The 12,314-nt window shown below is 45.7% G+C and overlaps 1 annotated feature.

The window, feature by feature from the left end:
- Window positions 404-1,393: an enhancer, noted in NCBI's record as "NANOG-H3K27ac hESC enhancer chr13:20173929-20174918 (GRCh37/hg19 assembly coordinates)". NCBI's record gives its function as "activates a minimal SCP1, AML or CMV promoter by ChIP-STARR-seq in primed H9 embryonic stem cells {active_cell/tissue: H9 hESC(primed)}" and the evidence as "EXISTENCE:reporter gene assay evidence [ECO:0000049][PMID:30033119]".

The following is a 12,314-nucleotide window of genomic DNA, read 5'->3' as shown; positions in this document are numbered from 1 at the left end:
GGGGTGGGTTGCCCCTCCACACCTGTGGGTGTTTCTCGTAAGGTGGAACGAGAGACTTGGAAAAGAAAAAGACACAGAGACAAAGTATAGAGAAAGAAATAAGGGGACCTGGGGAACCAGCGTTCAGCATATGGAGGATCCCGCCAGCCTCTGAGTTTCCTTAGTATTTATTGATCATTCGTGGGTGTTTCTCCGAGAGGGGGATGTGTCAGGGTCACAAGACAATTGTGGAGAGAGGGTCAGCAGACAAACATGTGAACAAAGGTCTTTGCATCATAGACAATGTAAAGGATTAAGTGCTGTGCTTTTAGATATGCATACACATAAACATCTCAATGCTTTACAAAGCAGTATTGCTGCCCGCAGGTCCCACCTCCAGCCCTAAGGCGGTTTTTCCCTATCTCAGTAGATGGAACATACAATCGGGTTTTATACCGAGACACTCCATTGCCCAGGGACAGGCAGGAGACAGATGCCTTCCTCTTGTCTCAACTGCAAGAGGCATTCCTTCCTCTTTGACTAATCCTCCTCAGCACAGACCCTTTACGGGTGTCGGGCTGGGAGATGGTCAGGTCTTTCCCTTCCCACGAGGCCATATTTCAGACTATCACATGGGGAGAAACCTTGGACAATACCTGGCTTTCCTAGGCAGAGGTCCCTGCGGCCTTCCGCAGTTTTTGTGTCCCTGGGTACTTGAGATTAGGGAGTGGTGATGACTCTCAAGGAGCATGCTGCCTTCAAGCATCTGTTTAACAAAGCACATCTTGCACCGCCCTTAATCCATTTAACTCTGAGTTGACACAGCACATGTTTCAGAGAGCACGGGGTTGGGGGTAAGGTCATAGATTAACAGAATCTCAAGGCAGAAGAATTTTTCTTAGTACAGAACAAAATGGAGTCTCCTATGTCTACTTCTTTCTACACAGACACAGTAACAATCTGATCTCTCTTGCTTTTCCCCACAACCAGTTTTGTTTTTTTTCTTTTCTTTCTTTTTTTTTTTAAAGCCAGGCCGGGCACGCTGGCTCACGCCTGTGATCCCAGCACTTTGGGAGGCAGATGTGGGCGGATCACCTGAGGTCAGGGGTTGGAGACCAGCCTGACCAACACATGGTGAAACCCCTTCTCTACTAAAAATGCAAAAATTAGCCGGGCATAGTCGTGGGCGTCTGTAATCTCTGCCATTTGGGAGGCTGAGGCAGGAGAATCACTTGAACCCCGGAGGTGGAGGTTGCAGTGACCCAAGATCGCGCCATTGCACTCCAGCCTGGGCAAAAAAGTGAGACTCCATCTCAAAAAAAAAAAAAAAGCCATTTCCCAATCCCCCTCTCCCAAGGAAATCCATCTGATGCCATTTCTGCAAGTGCACTGATGAAAACTGTAACACTGTCAGCTCTGATCTTGTAGTCCCTAAGGAACTATAGGTTATATCTGTGGTTCTCTGGCATTTTGTTAAACAAGTGAAAGCATTCAAGGAAGCTGTTGTTTGCCCAGAGTAATTTTCTTTAATGCCCTAAGACAAAGGGTCAGAAAGGTCTTGGTCTATTTGAGACAGCCACTCAACATAACACACAGCCACTGCCTTCCCATTGCTTTGGTTCAGCCTTTGTGTATTGATTTTCATTTTCAACACTATTTTCTTCCTTAAACAGGGTGTGGGCCAGGCGCCGTGGCTCACGCCTGTAATCCCAGCACTGTGGGAGGCCGAGGTGGGCAGATCACCTGAGGTCTGGAGTTCGAGACCAGCCTAGCCAACATGGTGAAACCCTGTCTCTACTAAAATTACAAAAATTAGCCCAGCGTGGTGGCGTGTGCCTGTAACCCCAGCTACTCGAGAGGCTGAGGCAGGAGAATCACTTGAACCCGGGAGGTGGAGGTTGCAATGAGCTGAGATTGCACCACTGCACTCCAGCCTGGATGACAGAGAGAGACTCCATCTGAAAAAGAACAAAAACGAAAAAAAAACAGGGTGTGATGACACATGCCTCTAGTCTCAGCTACTTGGGAAGCCAAGGCAGGAGGATCGCTTGAGGCCAGGAATTGGAGGCCACAGTGAGCTATGATGGCACTGTTGCACTCCAGCCTGGGTGACAGAGAGACCTCATCTCTAAAACACACACACAGACACACCGACACACAGACACACACACATACACACACCCCAACTGTCCACACAGTGTAATTTTCTTTTACAACTTTCAGTCTTGTTTGGATGTGCTGTTGGTATTTTGTTTTTTGTTTTTTCTGTTTTGTTTTTTTTTTTTGCTTGTTTCTTTTTTTGAGACAGAGTTTCACTCTTCTCACCTGGGCTGGAATGAAATGGCACGGCCTCAGCTCACTGCAACCTCCGCCTCCTGGGTTCAAGCGATTCTCCTGCCTCAGCCTCCCGAGTAGCTGGGATTACAGGCATGCGCCACCAAGCCCGGCTAATTTTGTGTTTTTTAGTGGAGACAAGGTTTCACCATGTTGGCCAGGCTGGTCTCGAACTTCTGACCTCAGATGATCCATCTGCCTCGGCCTCCCAAAGTGCTGGGATTATAGGCGTGAGCCACTGCACCCAGCGTGCTGTTGGATTATTACCTATGTTATTTAAGTGATTTGATTGGTGTTAGTGCTTAACATGAATGCACACCTGAATAGACCTCCCAGGCTATAGTAGATGTTATGACGGGATCAGAGTGCCTGGTAAATGGGCACTCATCAGAATCAGCACTTTAGAACTAGGGCTTCTGGACCGTAATTGAGTTACAGAAACAAGCCAGGGAGTTGGGATGACTTGTCCAAAGTGATGGGAAATTAACTAATTGGAAGCAGATCCAGGAGCCGTAACTAGTTACAGCAACCTAGAGGGGCTAGCAGTATCACTTGGTCCAGTGGCTTTTGCACCTTAAGAAAATGAGATCCAAAAGAACCCTGATTAAGGACAGACTTGGCTGGGTGCAGTGGCTCACGCCTGTAATCCCAACATGTTGGGAGACTGAGGCAGGAGGATTGCTTGAGCCCAGGAGTTCGAGTCCAACCTGGGCAACATAGTGATGTAACTGCCCAGTGGGTTCTTCTTGCCTGCTGCCTTGACTGAGCCAGTTTATCAAGATGGGGGAATTGCAATAAAGTTTAATTCACACAGAGCCAGCTATACAGGAGACCAGGGTTTTATTATTACTCTAATGAATCTCCCCAAGAATTCGGGGATTGGAGTTTTTAGGGATAATTTGGTGGGTAGGGGGCCAGTGAGTAAGAGTGCTGATTGGTCAGGTTGGAGATTAAATCACAGGGAGTCTAAACTGTCCTCTTGCGCTGAGTCGGTTCCTCGGCAGGGGCCACAAAACCAGATGAGCCAATTTATCAATCTGGGTAGTGCCAGCTGATGAAGCCATCAAGTACAGGGTCTGCAGAATATCTCAAGCACTGATCTTAGGTTTTACAACAGTGATGTCATCCGATGAGCAATCTGGGGAGGTTTAGAATCTTGCAGCCTCCAGCTGCATGACTCCTAAACCATGATTTGTAATCTTGTGGCTAATTTATTAGTCCTACCAAGGCAGTCTAGTCCTCAGGCAGGAAGGGGGTTTCTTTTGGGAAAGGGCTGTTATCGTCTTTGTTTCAAAACTAAACTATAAACTAAGCTTCTCCCAAAGTTAATTCAACCTACACCCAGAACAAGGACAGTTTGGAGGTTAGAAGCAAGATGGAGTCCGTTAGGTCAGCTCTCTTTCATCATCATAGTTTTCTCGGTTATAATTTTTGCAAAGGCAGTTTCAGTGAGCCCCTGTCTCTACAAAAAATTTAAAAAAAAAAAATTGTTTTTAAACCTGGTGTGGTGGCATATGCCTGTAGTCCCATCTACTGGGGAGGCTGTGGCAGGAGGATCGCTTGAGCTCGGGAGGTTGAAACTGAAGTGAGCCGTGTTCATGCCACTGCAGTCCAGCCTGGGCGACTGAGCAAGACCCTGTCTCAAAAAAAAAAAAAAAAAGTGAAAGAAAAAGAAAAAAAGGAAGAACCCTGTTATAGATTAGAAAGAGCACTGGACTTGGGGTCAGGATGTTTGTGTAAATGTCTCTGTTGACCTTTGGTGAGTCAGCCTTTCGTAAACTCCAGCCACAGCATGACTGCATCACCGGTTCCTTTGAAGCCCCTATGCTCCATCAACCTGCTGGAACAATCCACCATGCAGGGTGCCTGGTACTCTCCTTGAGCCTTTGGCCCCAAGCCTAGTGCTTTGTCTTGTCTTCCTTGAGCCCCTTCCTCTCCTATCCTCACAAGGGCTGTTCCAAACTCTCATCACTCCCAAGCCTTCCATATTTCTCCACTCCATGCTTCCCCTGTGCAAGCATCAGCTTCAATTTGTAATATAAGAAACAATCAGAATTTTGCTCAGATTTTTAATACCTAATCTACAAAGTTACCATTTTTTTTTTTTGAGATGGAGTCTCACTCTGTTGCCCAGGCTAGAGTGCAGTGGTGCCATCTCGGCTCACTGCAACCTCTGCCTCCCAGGTTCAAGTGATTCTCCTGCCTCAGCCTCCCAAGTAGCTGGGATTACAGGCGCCCCCCACCACGCCTGGCTAATTTTTGTATTTTTAGTAGAGACAGGGTTTCACCGTGTTGGCCAGGGTGGTCTCGAACCCCTGACCTCGTGATCTGCCTGCCTTGGCCTCCCAAAGTGCTGGGATTGCAGGTGTGAGCCCCAACACCCAGACATTTTTTTTTTTTTTTTTTGCACAAACTCATTCATTTGTCTTCTGTCCAACTTACTTGCTGTGTCCCCTTGCCTAGCCCAGTGGCCTGTAAGAATGAGGTTGGGGAAGAAACCAAGGGTTAGAGAGGCCAAGTTACACAGGTGCTAAGAGAAGAGCAGGGACTCAGCAAAGTTCTGTCCAACTCCGAAGGTCAGGCGCTCAGCTGCTACACTGTGCGGTGCTCCCTCCCAGAGGCTTCTTATTAAAAGCAAGTGGGCTGCAGGAACTGGAAGTTCTTTCTTCTGAAATACATCTCCCTCTATAATATTTTATAAAAGTCACTTTAGCAGCTTAAAATCCCCCACAACAGTGGCTCTTTCTGCTATCTTTATTTTAGGAATAGAGAAATAAATATATAGATGTTAAAATGCTTCCTATCTCTCAGATACTCAGAGAAGTGACTGTAAAATCATCTGGTTGGCACTAAATCAAGAAAGTGTCCATGCAAGCTTTGTTCTCAGTGTAATTTCTTAGGAATCCTGGCTGGGCCTGGTGGCATACGCCTGTAATATCAGCTACTCGGGAGGCTGAGGCAGGAGAGTCGCATGAACTAGGGAGGCGGAGGTTGCAGTGAGCCAAGATTGTGCCACTGCACTTCAGCCTTGGTGACAGACTAAGACTCTGTCTCAAAAAAAAAAAAAAAATTCCTAGGAATCCTGTGGCCTCTTGAGAACAATATTTTAGAGACATGGGTCACTGCTCTCTATAGAGGTAGCTCAACTCAATAGTATTTCAGACCTAGGTTCCAAACAGGAAACACGTAAACACACTGACCTCTCTGCTCCAGGTGACTGTTTGCTGCGCTTGGGATTGCCCGATTCAGAGATTTCAATGCAGCTAGTTTTGTGATGGGTGGCAGGTGTGACGCAGGTCAGAGGTGAGAGGACAGACATGGAATGTCTGCATAGACGAGCAAGCATTTGCTATTTCAACAGAATTTCACAAAGCACTGGTTAATGACACTAAAAGGAGAAATAATTTCACAAAATGTATCCGTGGTTGATACCACATGGGGCATATTTTAACAAAGTGAGTTAATTGGAGTTGCAAACAGATCAACAGCATAAAACATCTCTGACTCAAATATATTTATAGTTAATAAGAAAGAAGATGGGAGGCCAAGGTAGGCATATCACCTGAGGTCAGGAGTTTGAGACCAGCTTGGCCAACGTGGAGAAACCCTGTCTCTACTAAAAATACAAAAATTAGCTGGCTGTGGTAGCGGGTGCCTGTAATCCCAGCTACTCAGGAGGCTTAAGCAGGCAAATTGCTTGAACCCGGGAGGCAGAGGTTGCAGTGCAGTTAGCTGAGATCATGCCACTACGCTCCAGCCTGGGTGACAGAGTAAGACTGTTGCAAAAAAAAAAAAAAAAAAAAAAAAAGGATGTGGAGAAATAGGAACACTTTTACACTGTTGGTGGGACTGTAAACTAGTTCAACCATTGTGGAAGTCAGTGTGGTGATTCCTCAGGGATCTAGAACTGGAAATACCATTTGACCCAGCCATCCCATTACTGGGTATATACCCAAAGGACTATAAATCATGCTGCTATAAAGACACATGCACACGTATGTTTATTGCGGCATTATTCACAATAGCAAAGACTTGGAACCAACCCAAATGTCCAATAATGATAGACTGGATTAAGAAAATGTGGCACATATACACCATGGAATACTATGCAGCCATAAAAAATGATGAGTTCATGTCCTTTGTAGGGACATGGATGAAATTGGAAATCATCATTCTCAGTAAACTAGCACAAGAACAAAAAACCAAACACTGCATATTCTCACTCATAGGTGGGAATTGAACAATGAGATCACATGGACACAGGAAGGGGAACATCACACTCTGGGGACTGTTGTAGGGTGGGGGGAGGGGGGAGGGATAGCATCGGGAGGTATACCTAATGCTAGATGACGAGTTAGTGGGTGCAGCGCACCAGCATGGCACATGTATACATATGTAACTAACCTGCACAATGTGCACATGTACCCTAAAACTTAAAGTATAATAAAAAAATAAAATAAAATAAAAAGAAAGAAAAGAAAGCTTGCTTTTGACTATACAATTTTAGTACCCATTAAATATTCTTGGCTGCTGATATAACTTTTATTGAAAACTCCCACAAGTTTTTTTTGGAGTCAGGTAGAATTTATATGTTATTTTATTTGTTCCTTTTATTTCAAGTTGACATATAATAATTGTACATATTTGTGGCGTACAGATTGATATATTAATACATGTATACAATGTGTAATGATCAAATCAGGGCAATTAGCATAGGCATCACCTCAAATATTTCTCATTCTTTGTGTTGGGAACATTGAAAATCCTCCCTTCCAGCTCTTTGACCACAATACATTATTGTTAACTATATTCACCCTAGAGTGCTATAGAGCACTAGAATTTGTTCCTCTTATCTTGCTTAAATTTCATCTCTGTTGACCAACCTCTCCCTATCTTTTCCTCCCTCTGCCCTTCCCAGCCTCTAATAACCATAATGGAATTTGTATTTTAAACAAATAAACATGGATTTGGATTTCTGTCGGTCTTCTTAGAATAAGAGGGTGATCTGCATCCAGCAAAAGACTTGTTAGAGCAGTGTTTTGGGAGTGGGCAATTTTTTTTGTCTTTTCCTTGGCAACATCTTAATGGTACAGGGAAAGAAATGGGGAGAGGAAGGGGGAGGAGAAGGAAGCAGAAGAGGGGGAGGGAGAAGGCACTAGCTGAGGCACATATTTTATGAGGCTTAAATTTGTTTTTATTTTATTTTATTTCTCCATGTTCCCTCTGATGGTTAATGAGCCTTAAATTTGAATTTGTAAGATAAATATTTTTAAAAGATAAAACTTACAATAGTAAATAATTAAAGGAAAATGCTCATAAATGGTTAAAATTTTATGGTTCATCAGTAAGAGGAAATACTCTTCTCACATCATATGCTTTAGGACAAATCTGGCCACAGTTAACAGGATGTCCAACTATCAGTTTATTTGTTTGTTTAGAGACAGGGTCTTGCTCTGTTGCCCAGGCGGAGTACAGTGGCATGATCATAGCTCACCAAAGCCTTGAACTCCTGGGTTCAAGCCATCCTTCCACCTCAGCCTCCCCAGTAACTAGGACTATAGTTGTGTGCCAGTATACCCAGCTAGTTTTTTTTTTTTTGTTTTTTTTTTTTTGTAGAGACAAGGGTCTCACTATATTTCTCAGACTGGTCTCAAACTGCTGGGCTCAAGTGATCCTCCCACCTCAGCTTCCTAAAGTGCTGGGATTACAGGATGAGCCACTGTGCCCAGCCTAGTATATTTATTTTGAGTGTTAAAAAATTCTAGAAGTAGGAAGTTCCAGAGCTGGTTTATTTAACAGCTCAACAGTATCTGGGGGCAGCTTCTCTGTGGTTCTCTTAGCTTTTCCCTCATGACTAGATGGCTGCCACAGCTCTGCCTATCACATCCTCACATGCAACATCCAAAGGCAAGAAGGAAGCATGCTCACATATCTCCCTCTCATCAGAGAAAACAATCTTTCCCAGCAGCCCTCTGTCAGGCTTCCTTTTGTGTTTCATTGGCCCAGAAATGGGTCTTATGCTCCTCCCAAAAATCAATACTGGAAGGAGATTGGCATTAGCATGATTGCTTGAGAACAGGGTCAGCAAACTTCTTCTGAAGAGAATCAGCCAGTAAATATGTCAGGCTTTGCAGGGTGTGCGGTCCCTGTCACATATATTTAGCTCTGCCATTGTAGAGCCAAAGCAGCTAGACACACCAGAAACAAATACCTATGCCTGTGTTCCAGTGTGTCTGTGGACATTGAAACTTGAATTTTATATATTTTTTACCTCTCACAAAGAATTTTTTCTTTTTTTTCCCCCAACTGTTTAAAACTGTAAAAAGCATTTTGTATGGTGTGAGGACATAAAAAAACAGGTGGCAGGCCAGGTTTGGCTAGCAGGCTGTAGTTGGTCAACCCCTGGTTTAGAGCAATGAAAACTCATCCCCTTGGGGCTGTGGGAGGGTCCACCTTCCCGGAGACATCACCACCCAAACCTGAAAAAAAGAAGGGCAAGGGAAGGGTTGTTGTGCAACTGAGAATGTCACATACAGTATATTAAGGATATGGGAAAATGCTGAGGGATATAATAATTTGTCTTATGGGCAGGATGATCCCCACCAATTCCGCCTGTTAAAATCCCTGCCATTCACCGAGATCTATGTTAGACGCAGCCACCTCATAGCACCTGTTTCTGATTCCTGGTTCTCAGAAAGCAAACTGGAGCATTCCTTCCTCTCAATAACAAACTTCCCTTTAGTACCTATCATGTGTTGGACGCTGTCAACCCAAACTAACTGCTGGAAATGCAGAAGTGAAAGAGCCAATGGCTAGCCTCAAATAAATCATGGTCCAAGCAGAGGCAGAAGAAACAGGCAATTCTAATCCAGGGGGGCATGAGGCGAGAGGCGTGTGGGTAGTGAGGGCACCCCAGGAGGGCATGGATCAAGGACGGAATAGAAGATTTCAGGGGAGGCCCACAGGAGACCTTCATGCCAACATGGATTTTGCAAAGTAAGTGGCCTTTTGTTAACAGGATTAATGTAGGTTGGTGTATCACCTACCACAGGGGTTGGAAGAGTTGCAACTAAGCCAGACTCTTAGTTGTAATCAACAAAAGCATAAAAGAGATTGATTAAAATGATTAAAAGGATATAGAGTGACTCTTCTGGATGGGGAGGTAAAGTGCCATGAAGAGTTTCCTGAAACAAGGCCCTACGCCCACCGCAGACCTGGCCTGTAATGGAAACCACGCCGCTGCCCCTCTAGAGCTCTGGATATGACGGTTTGTGACGCTGCCTCTTCTTGTGCCAGGGCCACAGCCTGGTAACTATTGCTCCTCCAAAGCCTGGCGCCTCTGTACCAGCATTGCCTGATACATCACTTCCACACTGTGTCTACTGCCTTGGATTGCTCATGTCTAAGTTAGTATCTCGTGTAGACACAGCTGATGGAGGGAGGCTGGGTCATGTGCCTGTACCCTGCTTGCTCTGGCATCTGCCTTGGAGAGGCAGGACTCATTCTTGTGTTAGGAAATTCCCAGAACATAGGCAGGGTTTTCAAACCCTGCTAAGCAGCCAGAACACATGACACATGTCCACTCTGCACTGACTGAGCATTCCAGTCTGAGGAAACATGCAAAGGCACAGAGGTGTGAACCGGCAGAGCACATTTGGGGAACGGTAAGCAGTTTGGTTCTGCAGGAGAATAGAGCAGGGAGTGCTGGGAGAGTGGCTTGGAGCAGCCGGCGGGAGTCCCTGCTGAACTCATGGCCCCTGTGGCTCCAACCACAAGGGCAAGTATATATATATTTTTTTTTTTGGTGGTGCGGCTTGAGGGGAACAGGGTCTTGCTCTGTCACCCAGGCTGCAGTGCAGTGGCATGATCACAGCTCACTGAAGCCTCAAACTCCTGGGCTCAGGCGATCCTCCCATCTCAGTCTCCTGAGTACCAAAGGTGTGCGCCACCACCTTCAGATAATTTTTGTATTTTTCTGTAGAGATGGCATTTTGCCATGTTGCCCAGGCTGGTCTTGAACTCCTGGTCTCAAGTGATCCTCCTGCCTTGGCCTCCCAAACTGCTAGGATTACAGGTGTGAGCTACTCCACCCAGCAAGGGCAAGTACTTGTATCTTAGTGTTCCCTGCTGAGGCCCAGGAGCTGTGACTTACTCCTTGCCTGGCCCAGGGCCCTGCCCCTGGTAAGTTTTAGTCAGTATCTGTCTAAAGGAATCGTTGTCATAAATCTGTTGAATTGCATCATTGTTGTGAAGTAGCACGTGTACACAACTTCTCTCTCTCGTGTGTACAGATCCGCAGTGTACTATTTTATAATCATATTAATAATGGTTCCCCCAGTAAAAATAACCTGAATTTAGACCTTTTGTATCTAAATACTTATATGGTACCCAACACTAGATACTTAGCCGTTTACAAACATTTTTAAAGTGCTTTTATTAAATTAATTATTCTGGTCAAACACAGGCAGATACAACCATTGAAAGCTCACAAATAAAGGCCCAGCGCAGTTGAGACGCCATCACCTTAGGACTTAGCATGCAGGCTCTGGGTCAGACACCTGAGGGGAAAATCCTAGCCTCTCTGCTTCCAGCTGGATGAGTTGGAAAAGTCTCTTGGGGTGGGAATGAGAGGAAAGATCAGGTTCTGCCAGGTGACACTCTAAGTACTCCCTGCTCCATGCTGCTGCTTCTCAGCTTCATGCAATTGCACCTTTGAGGACTCCCATGGGCCACATTCTAACCCTCTTATTTTATTTTATTAATTTATTTATTTCTAGAGACAAGGTCTCACTCTGTTGGCCAGGCTGAAGTGCAGTGGCTTGATTATAGCTCACTGCAGCCCCGAGCTGTCGTGTTCAAATGATCCTCCTGCCTCAGCCTCCTAAGTAGCTGAAACTATAGGCATGTGCCACCACACCTGGCTAATTTTTAAATTATTTTGTTTGTGTGTTTGTTTATAAAGAAGGCGGAATCTCATTATGTTGACCAGGCTGGTGTCGAACTCCTGGTCTCAAATGATCCTCCTATCTCAGCCTCTCTAAGTGCTGGGATTACAGGTGTTAGCCATTGTGCCCAGCCCTAACCGTCTTATTTACAATAGTATTCTTTTCCTCACTGTGTCTAAAATTGTAAAACATGGCCAATTCCCAAATGCTCCATCATTCATTTTGCCAACCTCTCTGTTCCAACTAAGCCCTGGAAATTTGGAGATGAAAAGCCACACCTCATTCCATTCACTAAGAATCACAGAGCCAGGCACAGGGAGCTGGGAGCAGCAGTGCATGGGCACAGAACCTAGCCCAGAGCGCCAGGAAAGGGTCTGGGGGGGTGGCAAGAGCTGAGTCTTGAAGCAGGAGTAGGAGTTAGGCAGGGCAGAAGGAGGGAGCACACCATAGGATTGCAAGGAGGTAGGGGAAGGCATGACCGTGTCCAGGAGCTACAGGGGCTCCAGTCAGGGTAGGAGGAGAGGTAATGGGAAGGAGACCAGCAAAGGAGGCAGAGCTGATCTTGAGGGGTCTCACAGGCCCTGCTAAGAGAGTGTAGAGTTTTAGAGGATGGTAGAGGGAGCCGCTGAGTAATGCAGACATCGTGATTTGAACGTGGCTGTGTGGAGGAGGTTGACGGCATGGACTCTGGGTTGACTATCCAGTCCCCAGAAGATGACCTTGTGATGGTGAGAAGCTCCTGTAAGCCTCAAATTTCTCATGTTAAAAATGGAAGACTGGGTCAGGTGTGGTGGCTCACTCCTGTAATCCCAGCACTTTGGGAGGCTGAGGTGGGCAGATCATGAGATCAGGAGTTTGAGATCAGCCTGGCCAATATGGTGAAACCCCGTCTCTACTAAAAACACACACACAAAAAAAATTAGCTGGGCGTGGTGGCATGCACCTGTAGTCCCAGCTACTCTGGAGGCCAAGGCAGAAGAATCATTTGAACCAGGGAGGCAGAGGTTGCAGTGAGCCGAGATGGGCCACTGTACCCTAGCCTGGGCAACAGAGCGA

The sequence above is a fragment of the Homo sapiens genome, chromosome 13, assembly GCF_000001405.40.
Source record: "Homo sapiens chromosome 13, GRCh38.p14 Primary Assembly".
Lineage (NCBI taxonomy): Eukaryota > Metazoa > Chordata > Mammalia > Primates > Hominidae > Homo > Homo sapiens.
Note: the sequence above shows the minus strand (reverse complement) of the source record. Positions and strands in the feature narration are given on the sequence as shown.